The following is a 14,597-nucleotide window of genomic DNA, read 5'->3' as shown; positions in this document are numbered from 1 at the left end:
ATATTATTAATGCCAGTCATTGAAACAGGTTTATTTTTAAATATATATAGAAAAATACAAAGCACAGAATCATTATATTCTAATTGTAAAAGTGAAATATTGGGAATGAAGTTTCAATTGTGTGTGTTTGCAATCAAAATAACGCAAAATCGTAATAATCACTGAAATGCAGGGTTGGAAGGGCTACTACTTAAAAGAGAGGCATACTGAATAATAAGAACTTACACAATGTACAATTTTTTAATACTATATTGGTATGTTATCTTTATTCATAGCATATTAGCAATTTTAAAAAGGTTTTGTTTCTAGAATAAAAAAATTCAAAAGCAAACTGAAGTTTCTATGAAAATGTTAGCGTTAGCAAATTAACTGAAGCTTAATAATAAATCATTGTGTGGACTTGCTGAGCACTTGCTAAGCACCATAGACTGATGAACTTATTTAATCTTTACAACAATTATATGAGCTATGGACTATTATGATCCTAATTTTACAGATTAAAAAAATCTGAGATATGAAAATATGTATCTTACCCAAAGTCATACCCACATAGTAAGTGTCAGAGTAGGAATTTGAATCCCAGAAATCTGGCAATAGAATTTGTGCTCTTAACCACCATGCTATATGCATTTGCTCCTCCGAGCCTAGAAACAGTGGGGACCATATTTGCCAGTGCAAGCTGCCAGAAGCCAGTAGCCAAGTGGCAGAGAGTGTACAGGAGCATCAGCTGTTGAGAGGCTCAGAAGTATTCAAGCTGCTACTACCTTATAGTACAAGGGAGTAGAAATGAGAGACAGGAAGCTGAATGCCAATCTAAGAGGCCTCTACCTCACTAGAGTTACACTGCCAGAAAAATAAATGTGCAGAATTTAATGAAGTTGCCAAATAAATTCATTTCTACTGAGATCAAAATAGGTTTTCTAATACTGAGTGATCAAAACAAACCTTTCCCCTGAAATAGCTATACTGTTTGCTGTTAGAGGGCATTCTCAGTCCTCTATCTAAAGCATTTTTCAAAAAGAGTAGTAAGCAGAAATGTACAGTGAGAAGAAATGGCTGGTACAAATCTAAGAGAGGGACCCAGAAACTAGAATACCTGAAGTATCATCTATTTCTGCTGCTCACTACCTTTGAGAACATGCATGTGTTGCCTAACCTCTCAGTGCATCACTGTCCTTGTTTGTAATGTAGAAACAATAGCACATTCACAGTCATATTTTAAAAAGTTAGATGACCATCTTGGTGGCTCCAAGTGCAGAATATGTAATGTGCAATTTTGTGAGTCACAAAATATTTTTAAAGGACTAATAAGCTAGAGAATTTAATATATTTTCTTTCCAGATCTTATTAAAATTTAAACTTCTAACTATTCTCAGAGTGAGCTAATAGCAATTTCTCCTTATTTTTTCCTTCATCTAGTTTATCTTAATTGACCTTTGTTAATCCTGCAAAAATTCCCTACACTCAGAGGTGGCATTTAGCAGGAATATACCTACGTACCTGAAAGATATTCTCATTGTCAGTGCCCATGCCATTCCTACTGTTAATATTGTGCTAATACTGTGATATATTGAATATCACTCCTGCTTTTATTAATATTATTATTCTTGTCTTACTCATTATTGTCCTTTTATTTCTTTTCAAGGATTCTCACCATCCAGAAGTCATACCAGGTAACGAGGATGAACATCAGCTCCTTTCTCATTTCCTAACCAATGCTGAACTGCAAATCTCACCCTCCCTCTGAATATCCTTTAGAAACAATGTGAAAAATAAATATCATCCTGGAACAGTCATGTTCAAAGGCCAAGGACTGGTTTTGGTGTGAAACTTTGCCCTGATCCTGAAGACTCAAGAGAAGCACGAATCTTTAGTGATATTAGGGATCTGGGAAGTCATCTAGATCAGTCCCTTCCTTTTATTGGAAAGAAAACCAAGGCCCGGGCATTAAATGTGTCATTCAAAGTCACAGAGGCTCTTCAGAGAAGAAGCAAGAATGGCAATCTCAGATCAATGGATGTGAACACTTTGGGTCACATCTGAAGAGCAAATTCTCTTGCTAACCTTTCTCCCTAGTCTGTCACCCTTTTTTCTAGCTTACACTCCTACCGTGTGCCAAGATAAATTTAAATACATTAATATTTAATTTACACAACCATTTTACAAGGTAGAGACAGTGGGAGAACAGCCTTGAAGAACAAAAAAAAGAGGTAAATTTGTATTTTGCTTCTATATTACAAATAAGGAAAGTGATTAATGGAAAGGATAAGCAACTTATGCATGTTTTCACTGCTATTGAGCAGCAGAAATGAGATGATAATGGACATGGTATTTCAAGTCCTCAGAATACCAGGGGAATGAGTATTGATAGCGAACAAAAGAGGATCAAGACTCAACCCCAGACACACCAGTATGAAGGATTGGAGAGAAGAGAATAAATTAGCAGAAGTACCTAATAAGGAGGAATTGTTGAGTTATAAGTGACCTCAAATATATATAGGGTCCTGGAAAATAAAGAGCTAGAGAGTATTTTGATAAGGAGGGGGTGATAAACTGTTTGGAAATCTGATGTTAGATCAGGGAAGATGAAGAAAGAACACTGACCTTTGCATTTAGCAACATGAAGGGCACTCCTGATGTTTACATAGCAGTTTCATGGAGAGGTTAAAGTTGGATGAGGGTGGATTAAGTAGAGAAAGGAAAAATGATTGAAGACAACAAGTATAGCAGCTCCAGAGGAATTTAACTGAAAAGGAGAGTAAGGAGATGAAGTTGTAGTTCTTAGGGTTTTGTTTTTAATAACTGGAGGATGTTTTATGATGAAGGGCATCATCCAAGAACTGAACCTTGGATAAATGGTTACATTTTATAAGTGATGGAAGAACTAAAGCCAGATAATAAGAAAATGAACAATTAGAAGAGATTTATAGAAGTTAAGAATGAGAATGACAAAACAATCCTGTTCTCTCCATACATTATATTTTTATATGGGTTTTGGAATAAATAGGTTACAATTTGAATAAAACTGATTTATGAAGACTGTTGAGCAAAGTCATGTTTCTGTAGGGGTGGTCTGTTTGAGGATACTGAATGCCAGGGACTGAGAGAAATCACTTGAGAATTGCCAGCTGTCCAGTCAAAGATATCCCAACAGGGTGGCACTATTTTGGTGATTTCATTACAGCCTAACAGTCAGAATTGGACTTGTGCTAATGAAGCTCACAGAGAACACAAATTTAATTATTTAAATTAGGCACATTCTCCAGTGACTAATGCTCAGAACATTATCATATTTTAACTTTCAGTCCCATTCTTTCATTTATTTTTAGTCTATCTCCCTTCTCTTCATATATTCTTCAAGCTCTATGAACACAGTTAAATGTAATTATTTTAATATGTGTTTCCTTAGTTACAGTCAAGTCCAGTCATGCCTCCCTAAAAGCATTCTTAAGTCACCTTGATCAAATTACAGGTGCATGAAGAATGTCTCTTAAATCAAATGATTTAAGTAAATGTGCCAATGATTACACTTATTCTAAATGTTGAAGCTCCCTAATTAATTGATCACAGGGTATCTTTTACTCAGTACAGGAAGAATGTTGTACATGCTTCTGTAATGCTTATGAATAGTGATTAGGTTCTCCTTTATGGTCATGTTGGATGTCAGTCATCCAGAGGATAGACAGGACCTTCAGAAAAGCCAGAAAATAACAATATTTCTCTAGGTTCCCTTTTTACATGTCAAGGAAAGATATTTAGGCATGTATTCATGGGAAAAAAGTACTAAATAACACCAGTTAGATGACAGTCTTCTGAGAAAGAGCATTGTCTATCAATTTGGTATTGCATTTTGTTACTAGCAACAGACATGAAAAAAAAAAAACTCAGTGAAATAAACTAAAATGTGAAAAAGTAAATAATGTAGGGTAGGTGTGATGACTCCATAATGCCACAACACTCAGGCTATCTCTTCTCTGCTCAACATACTTTGCAAGTGACTTTCATCCTCAAGACCATCTCATTGCCATTGGTAATCACTGTAGCTCCAGCTGTCATGTCTTCATGAGAGGCAGAAGGACTATAAAATACTGTCAGGTAACTTCAGCCCATAATAAAAAGTTTTCCAAAAGCATTCTCTAAAACTTCCACCTACATCTTATTGGTCATGACTTGGTTTGCTAAAATCATTGGTAATATAAAGTTTTGTAGCTGGACACAATGCCACTCCCCAAAAATCAGGGTTTTGCTACAATTGAAAAAGAAAAGAATGGATTTGGGGTGGGCAATAAACTTTCACCAAGGTTAAACTGGGTTATGGGCTCTCTTGGGGATTATTTTTTTAGATATCTGATGATCTAACTCTTTACTGAGGCCTTAATTTCATTTCAGTTTGTTACATCTAAGGTTTTAATTTTATTTAAATGTTTCTGATTGATTTCTGATATTGCTATATTCCACCAGATTTTTAAGAGTGGTGCTCCAAGGATAGGTGATTTGCAAACTCACTGTTTACATTTACAGTCGATTTTCTCTTTATTGTTTTGAAAAATATTTTTCAGACCTATTTTGTTAATAGCTACCCCCTAAACTTATATAGTGCTTTTGGCAAAATAAATCATTTATTTCATACATAGTCTTCCATACAGTAATTTTTATCTCATTATGTTAAATACTATTGCCACAACAAGTTTGCTGAATTTTTGTGTAATTTATCTTTCCAAAGCTTAAATGATTTATAGTACTTCAACAACTATGATTATTAACTTGGCCGTCCAGGTTTGTTTACGATGCAGTCTTTTTCCAAATACAAGGACATAAAATTTTTACTCATACAATTCTCAAAATTTTAATAATGTTATCTTTTTAATGTACCCGTTTACAATAGTTGTTGGTTCATGATGATGGCACTTATATGTGGATGCGAGTTTTTTGCCTTTCTGTTATAATACAAAATAATAAATATTTGTAAAATGTCCATATCTACTAGGAAGTTAAGATCCAATTTTAGACTAAACTTTTTTGCTAATTAATAATATATACTTACTGAATACCTATCCTGTATCAGAATAGTAATACTTTTCAGAAATACAAACATCAGTAATAGTCCTGATTTAATGACAAAACATGTAAACTAACACAATGCAGCATGACGAGTGCTGCAATAGGAGCATCAGCTAGAATAGTGGCCCAATGTTGGCATGATTTCTTTTTATGAGAATCAGAGCAATGGCTCTCAGCACTTACACTTTCTCAGAACCAACGTTAGGAATTAAAACCAATACTGGGGCCTCACTTGTAAAGATCTAGAGATTTCTCAAATGATTTTAAGTAACAGGTTGGGGAGGGTAGATATTGGATTAAAGAAAGCAATACTTGTGCTGATTCTTGAGAGTGGGGCAAGAGTTTTCCCAGGAAAGGACATATTAGGCAAATATAAAAGCAAATTTAGGCCGGGCATGGTGGCTCACACCTGTAATTTCAGCACTGTGGGAAACTGAGGCAGAAGAATCACATGAGCCCAGGAGTTCAATACCAGCCTGGTCAACATAGGGAAACCTCGTCTCTACACACAAACACACATACACACACACAAAAAATAGGTGGGCATGGTGGTTTCACCTGAAGTCCCAGCTACTCAGGAGGCTGAGGTGGGAAGATTGCTTGAGTTCAGGAGGTTGAGACTGCAGTGAGCTGTGATCCTGCTATCGCATTTCAGCATGGGTAGGTGACAGAGCAAGAGCCTGTCCCAGGGGAAAAAAAAAAAAAAAGCAAGTATGATCACCAATGGAGGCACTGTGACTGTTCTAGTGTAGCAAGAATAACAGGGAAGAGCAGAGTTGATTTGAGCCCGGTTTTAGATGTGGACAGAATTAGAGGCACTCCTATTGCCACACCTGGAAGTTTGAAACTGTCCCTAAGCCCAACATTTTTCAAATTGTGTTCATTAAGTATGTGCAGCCTCCTTGTCTATGCCACAGAATTTATGAACATATAGGTTTGGGAAATGCTGCATACTATTCTCTCTTCCTGGATATTCAACAGGCCTACAACTTCAAAATACCCTGAGAGGCCTACAGCAATGAAAAGAATTATGTCTGCAATTTCCTAAGCTCATTTATCTATGGAACTTTGTTTCTCTTCCCCTAATCCCATTTTGAGTTTCCAATTGATCTTCTTTGGGACACAATATAAAATATAATGTTATGAGCAAGACAGAAAGCTTTGAACAGGGCATCAAATCAATGTACTTAGTGTGTCTCAGCAATCCATTTTAGTTGTCATATTAAATTGGGAGCTTGGTAATACTGGAGACTTGAAACCAGTTAACAGGCTATTGTGCCATTCTAAAAAGAGGATTGAAAGTTCTTAAGCGACGAAATATAAGTGGAGGGAAAAATAGAGAAAGGATTTGAGAGATTTTTAAAAGAGAGTATGAGAGGATTTATGGATAATGAAATAAGAAAGAGTCATTCAGGAACAGGTAATAAAGTCCAGATTCCTGCCGAAGAGAATAGAGGATATTTAAATGGGAATACTTACATATCCATATGCGACAATCATAGTCCTGCAAAAGATGCTTTAGTTTGAAGTGGAAAGAGACAGATGGCTATTAGTAGTGATCAAAGTTTCCTGTTATAAAATAGTGAAAAATGCAAAGCAAATGTTTTAGCTCAAAATGATGTTATTTCCCTCATAAGAACATTTGACTGTAATGTAATTCAGCAAAAAGAAGTACGATTTTTTGACATAAATGTGCATTTACAAATGTTTTTGGAACATATGTATTTTGTCAGTGAGGTAGTACTGGTAGTACCAGGATGAGACTGAGAAAATTGCATGAACTCTCAGTTTGAACAAAGAATACACGGCAAAAATGTGATCTGAGAAATAATATGCCAGTGATGGACTAGAAACCAGAAGATGATGGCTTGATATATTTCTGCAGCACATGTGAGCGTAATAGAGAATAGAGAAGCAAGTCTTTATTAGTAAGTTCTATTTTTAGCACCTTAGTGCTAAATTATATATTTGGTCCAATATTGCAGTATTTGAAGGACAGAGGATCCATAAATCCTAAAATTTTGTTATTGGATACCCTCCTATTTATTTTTAATTTTTTTTAGCATAAAATTCTCTCAGTCTGTGTGCCATTACCATAAGTTGTTCATCAGTCTCAATGACAATTAGGTGTTTCTACCACACTAATGAGCTTAGAATTTTGGAGATTAGTGATTGCTGATAAAAATAGTTTTTCATAATTTTTGTAACAGACATAATAAGGTAAAACTAACAATTTAATATGTGTCTAGTATGCCTTTGAGTGGGTCTTACATCTACTACAATATAGACTATAGGAATATTTGTGTGTCACAATTGAAATAATGTCAGGTTAAGTAAACATTTTCACTGTCTTCAAATATTATAAAAATATAAACCTTAGACTATAAACAAAATTTATATTAATATCTACCCTTAATAATTTGAGTGCAAAATACCTAATTTCAATCAAATATTTTTAAAACCAAGCACTCAAACATGATAGTATGAACATATTGAGTAAGAATGAGTGTTTCAATATGAATATATTTGGCTATCTAATGAATACATGGCAATGTGTAGCAATGTCTGTGAAATCTCGGGTGTTTTATTCCATTTTCCTTTCTTGCCTTTCTTTTGATCATAAGGAGAAACAGACAGTTCATGTCTAAAGAAGTATAGGCCCATCTGCTTCTCATTTTGACTTTCTTTGTTTTTTAAAGTTTTAAACTAATTTTTAGACTAATCATAAAGCTGATCTAAAATAATTTTTAAAGTTGGTGCTGAAAAAGACAGCTAAAAATTCTCATCTCAACTTACATATTTTTGTGAAAGTATCTGATATTTCATCATCAATTTATTTCTCTTCCAGAGAAAGTTAATATTGGCTTTATAGATTTCCACTGTTGTAAATAGAGTAAAAATTAACAGATAAGGAAAAATTAATATATTCTGATTAATGTATCAATATACTATTAATATATATCACATTAATAGTATCTATCCACATAGATTTCTTAATGATGTGAACCTAATTTTATCTTCAAATAAACATTACTATCTTCTATAAATAGATTCCATCTATCCCAATCATAAAATCAACTATTTATGTACACACATTTTTTTGCTGGTTTTTTTTCATTTGTTTACTTTTCCTTCATTGACTGATTATTCAGCAGAATGGTGTCTGCTGGTAAAAGAGGGCTAAATTAATTATCTTTATGTCGAGGGATTCAGCTGTCAAAAAAACTAAAATTGTCATTATTAATAAAATAAATATGCTTAAGTTATTTAGTTGTGTCATAATGAACAGTTGTAAATGGCATTAAATAAATAAAAATAGCATTTTGATTTCTGTCATGCACTGTCCTTGTTTATATGATTTAAGCATATTACTTCCATTGAGATTGAGGGATTCTGTGGGAGAGACTTCGGAGAGTAAAAAACTCTAAATAAATTTTTTTATTTTATTTTAAAAAAAGAAAAAGAAAAATGAAACAACCAGCAGAATCCGTTTTCTTACCTACTCCATCAGCTGAAATAAGGGCCAAGTGCTATATATGTAAAGCAAAAAACAAAAAAACACATTCAATGACTCATGGCATCTGGGATTGTGATGACTGAAAATGTTTCAAGGGACGCACTTGTGAGTGCTGGTCAGCATTATCAACAGTTCTCAGGGAAAGGATTCTGCTCAGCACCATGACTTGATTCGCAATGCATATTGGAGAATGGTGAGAGAAACATGTAGCACAGAAGATGCTTTCGTGTAGGTTTTAAAGAGGAAATAAATTAGTTCAGTAGAGCTGCAGGTGAGTGGTAGAAACTAAAACATAAATCACAAGTATAATATTCCTGCATATTTTCCATAATGTGAATGGAGAGGTTTTGTATTCTAAAATCATTCAGAGATTCTTAGAGCTCTGTCTCTGAATATGAAGGAAATGTGTTTCTTGGGTATTAAACTTCCTAGCATAACTAGGTAGTAAGTGTATTTGTCTTATTTTTCAGATATTCCCAGAAGAACAGGGAAGGGGAAAATGTGTGAGTGGGAACATTTAAATACAATGAATTAATTCATAAGTGATATTATGGATTATAATGTTACTTTCACAGTACCTTATTATATTACCCTATAGGGCTTTGTCAAGTATGCAGGTCATTAATGTCTACATGATTGGTCCTATGGTGGATAAAGCAAATTGGACTCTCAAGTTGGGCCTATATTACTTACAGGAACAAATACCAAGCAATTAGGCCATCAGTAATTATTTTATAGAATTATATGTTTTATAGAATATATTTATATTCTAAAAACCATGTATATAAAATAAAATCATAAACCATGACTTAATTATCTGCTTGACATCTTACTTTGGTGTATTTTACAGTGGTGAGAACTTGTCTGGAATTTGTTGAACAGTCTCTACTTACCAAGAAGCCAGAGAAAAGTTTGGCTGACCTCCAAGCAAGCTGCACAAGCTCATGCTCATTAAAGGCTCATAAAGATGCTATTAGGGATTACAAAGGATCTGGCCATGGTCCCCATGGTTCTAGCTGCCACTGGTTTCCCATAGAGCCCTAGGCTGGATACAATCTGTAGTGTCCCTGGAAAAGCACAGGTGGATTCTGTATACTTTGTGGTCTGAATATTCTTCACCTAATGACAACAGATGTGGTAGGTAGAATAACACTCCCTCCTACCAAAAACAACAACAACAACAGCAACAAAAACCCATAGATGTCTACCTTCTAACCTACGGAACCTGGTAATACATTAATTACAGGGTAAAATGGTATTAAGATTGCAGTGGAAATGAAAGTTGCTAGTCATTTTACCTTAACATAGCAAAGTAATCCCAGATTATCTCAGTGGACCCAATGTAATTACTAGGATCCTTAAAAGTGGAAGACAGAATTGAAAGAGAGAACTATGCAGTATCATTAAAACTTCTTGGTCTGATGTTACTGACTTTGAAGATGGAGGAAGGGGGCCATGAGTGAGCTAAGGAAAGAAGGTGGCCCTAAACAAGCTGGAAAAGGCAAGAAAACAGTTCTTGTCCAATGGAGTAAATCCCATGACATAAATCGATGTGTGAAGTTTCCTTGACAATCAGCAGATTGGCATAAACTTGTTACTTCATTCTTCTTAGCAAGCACGAGAATAGTGTTACAAACAGTGTTGGAAATTTCCTAATCCGTATGCTTCATTTTGAGGCTATTATTCACCGCTGATGTTGTTTCCAGTCCTTGACTGCTCTCTGAAGCTTCACATTTGAAAAATTATTATAGCTACAGTAGCACATGGTCAATCTCATGTTTGTTTGATTAAAATATTGTAGAGACCAACATGCAGGAGCTAGCAAAGTAGTAATCATCTATTCTGAGGTCAAGCAGGATAACTACTCTTCCTAAGAATATTTCGTCCCTTGAAAGAAGTTCTGGCAAGGTAGGTGGTTGGCAACAAATAGTGACCCTTACATGGTGATCCTGAAATCTGTCTCTAATTTCTGCTCTCCTTTATTTTATCAGTGAGACAATGATGAAATCTCATATTTCATAAGATTTTAAGGATGTTGCCACTTAAAGGTTTTGTGAAACTAAATGTATTCACAACACAGTTTTAGTTTATGAGTTTGAATTCACACTCTTGAACATAAAATCTAATCCTAATGTACAGTCTTTCTACTCCTAAAATTGGAAGGAGTATAACATGTTCCAAATTACAAATAACATACATTACAAATTACATATATTACAAACACAAATAATTTTTCAATTTAAATATGTCTCAAGAGCATTTTTTATGGTTTCCTTATCTTCTTTCAATATAATGTGCCTTGGTAATAAAATAGAGAAGTATCTACATAACTATAAAGGGAAATCAATCCATATGGCTATGACAAAATAGAGAAGTATCTACATAACTATAAAGGGAAATCAATCCATATGGCTATGATAATATAGATTATTATCATAATATTTTGACTATGACAGGTAATTTCTAAAAATTAAAAAAGGATTTTATTTAAACACAATAATTTTTATAATTCACATGTTAATTTTCAGTAAATTATTGTTTCTCAATGGATAATTTGATCAATATCAATATCTCATAGCAATGGCAGATTGTTGTTATTATAAAAGAGCAGCATTTTTGAAATATTTATCATCTGCTGATATTTAGGCTTAACTACTCCCATAAGGCTGCATACCTATTAAACACTTTATAAAGGAAAAATGAAATTGTAAATGCTTGCAATATGATTTTTTCTTAATTAATATCATTAAATTATACAAAGCCTAGAGAGTGAAGTACATCTTACCAATTCATGAGAGACAGGGTCCTCTGTTTGCTACTTCTAGTATGTATTTAGTTGTCATTTCTACTAGAATTGAAAATACTGAAGTTCTGTTACTAGAAGGGGGTGTTTTGATTAGTAAAGATCATGGTTTCCATGGAACACTCAAATGATGAGGCTGTTTTATGGAGGAGGCAGATTGGATGACCCAGACTTCTCAACAGTCTGAAGAGCCCTGCTGGGCAGTCATTCCCTACATCTGGAGATGACAGAAACTATTTTTTTCTGGTCTTAGATAGTGCCTTCTGGTATCTGTGCACACACATGGAACAGAGATCCTGTCACCCTGAAAAATCCCGTCTCCCTGCACTCCAATCTCTTCAATGCACATTTATTTTCTTGAGTTTTTTTCTTAAATCCTCATGGGCTTGAAAGCATTACTAGGATTGAGTTTCTTAAGGTTCAGGATACAAAAATGGAGTAAAGCAAAAGCAAATTTTATTCTATCCTAACTGTTCATACTCCTTAATTTGTTGACATGTTTTCATTTGTTTTCAACCTTTAAAATCAAACTGCAGCTAGAAGCATACAAATACATTGTAAATATTAAGATATTAGCTAGTTCTTGCTCCTTTACACACTGCAGATTATGAGAAATTTATTTCATAATGGTAAAGGTTAAAATTGAAATGTCTCACATTATTCCACAAGTGACACAATATGGCAAAATTATTATTCTATAATAAATGTTATTATATTAAAAAGAGTTCTTTTAAAAGGTAATCTTCAATTTTTATAAGTTATTTAGAGTTTTTAGGGACACTAGAGGGTGTTAAAATATATTTCCCTAATACCGGAAGAGTACATTGCACTATAACTTTCTTGAGGCGAGAGTACAGTATGGAATGCAAATCAATACAAATTTAGTTTAAAAGGCTTATTTTAAGAATTTCATCAATTTTCTGCTTTCATAGAAAACTGAATGGAACAGTAGAAAAGCCCTATTATATTCATTTTCATAATTATTAAACAATTAAGAGAAGTCATTGGTATTTTCTTTTACAGTTGAGGAAACCATGGTTCAGACAGGTAAAATCTCACAAAATCACATAGCTTGAACTTACTGAATTTTGTATTTCAAAGACTACCAGTTACCTCTCGCTTTAATGAAAACAATGATGAGATGACATGAAAGTCCAGGGACTTTCACTGTATCAGTAAGATGTCATGCTTCCATATTGATTTCCTGTGTAAAATATGCAATTTCAAAAGGCTTTCAATTCTTATTAGTGGAAACTCCTCTTTAAAAATCCTACTAATTAGTCATAAATTCTCTGTCTAGGTCAATATCCAGTAACAAACTTGCACATGTACCCCCTGAATTTATAAGTATATATAGATATTTTTTTTTAAAAAAATCTTACTAATTAATGTGTTGCTTATCTCACTCCTGTCCTGTGACATTTCTCCCAATCCCACATGCCAGGATACATCATTCTAGCATTTCTGTGATCTTCCCTTGCTCTGAAAATATCTTTATTAAAAAATAGAATATTTCCTTTTTAGCAAAAATGTTATTTTTTAGATTCTGCAGTTGTCTTTTTTACTATTTTCTGAGCTCTAAGTTGTCTCTTTTTGTTTCTAGGATGGCACATCTCAGTATCTTTTGAGTTAAGACAATGATGGGTTTAAGGAATAGCCTTCTGTTTTGTAGCCACTCCATGAAATCTTGGGGCCTGACAATCCCTGGATAACAGGAAATCTTTATACATGTAGCTGGTTTAAAGGGACTTCCAATGAATACTTCTTTTTAAGTAGAAGGTTCTGAATTATCAGTAGATAAGACCAGTATAACCGTTAGAATCTTTGGGAGCACACCCGATTACATACTTGGACTTTAGTTTTTGACAGAGCCCTGAGCAACTGCTCACAAGGGAAAGCATATGTAGATTGAAGCTATGCAGAATGAAGTCTCAACAGCTGAAGCTTACTGGGGAACCAATGGTGCCCTAAATTAAGATAATTTATGAAATGTTGTAAGTCTATAACATTCTTCATGGAAGTCAGTTAGGGAATGGAAAGTTTTGAGATAGAGAGATATAATTATATAGCAATATGCAAAATATACAATAAATATATTCCAGTTGATTTTAGGCAGAAAATATGAAAATAGGATTTTCCTATCTTATTTACTGTTTTTTTTTTCTCCTATTCTAAGGCTTATTTTTTTAAATAAACATTTATACAAATGTAGTACCAGTTATGAGAAGAATCAAAAAATATTTGTTCAGATGCACCTATACAACCAATAGGGTTTTATATTTGTTCAGATACATCTATAAAACCAATACAATTTTTTTCCATTAGTAATTTTAAGCTCATATTTATAAATTTATTCATGCATTTGAGACAGTTAGATGTATCCTCAGCATTCAGATTTGTTCACTGATGTCTTGAAATATACTAAAATTTAAAGGCCTTACAAGATTAAGAAATTGGCAAGAAAATATAAGAAAATACAACCTGAATTCTTGAAATGTTAATCACGTTGTAAATTTATCCTCATCTTAAGCTTTTATTTCCACATAATATTTATAAATAACATAAACAATATTTTAGATATAACAAAATTATTAACAAATTAAGAATTAAATATTTTATCATTTACAATTCAATTAGGAAAAATGTGTTTACAGTAATCTCAGATTAAGAAAAAATATCGGTATTCAGATTTTGGCTTCTACCTTTGTGGTAATATAATATACATTTACATTATTCTTTATGCTGATAAGTTAAAACTCTAATTGCTGATACTACACAATCATGAACTGAAAACATGTGTTTGCTTAATGTCAAAATTACATATTTTAAAACAATTACAGTTGTTATTTAATTATCCCATACCTGGTATATGACCATTTATTCACCCTAAACTTGTACACTTCAAATATCTCTTTTTAAATGCTATATTTGTAGAATAATGAATAAATAATATTTTAGATAGATTTGTTAAACATTAATTCTACTTTCCTATATTTGCTCAATATCAAAACATTCTGCAAATATATGATAAAGGATTGGTTTCCAAGACAGTAGGTTGCTTGAAGAAACCATTTTAGATGTTAGGACTGCTATAAACTGAATTGTATTTCCCCACATTCATATGTTGAAGCCCTAACCCCCATTGTGATGGTATTTGGTGATGAGGTCTTTGGGAGGTAATTAGGTTTAGCTAAGGTTATGAGGGTGAGGAATTAA

The 14,597-nt window shown here is 33.4% G+C and overlaps 1 long non-coding RNA gene across 1 annotated transcript in view; it reads left to right on the top strand.

The window, feature by feature from the left end:
* The first annotated feature begins 13,266 nt into the window (after nucleotides 1-13,266).
* Nucleotides 13,267-14,597, top strand: part of LINC02549 (long intergenic non-protein coding RNA 2549) — a 102,930-nt gene continuing 101,599 nt past the window's right edge. The window contains exon 1 of the long non-coding RNA NR_125854.1: nucleotides 13,267-13,375. This is a non-coding gene — a long non-coding RNA (long intergenic non-protein coding RNA 2549). The remainder of the gene's footprint in view (nucleotides 13,376-14,597) is intronic.

Source organism: Homo sapiens, chromosome 6, assembly GCF_000001405.40.
Source record: "Homo sapiens chromosome 6, GRCh38.p14 Primary Assembly".
In the NCBI taxonomy this organism is placed as follows: Eukaryota; Metazoa; Chordata; class Mammalia; order Primates; family Hominidae; genus Homo; species Homo sapiens.
The sequence above is the reverse complement of the archived record's forward strand: the minus strand, read 5'-3'. Positions and strand labels throughout refer to the sequence as shown.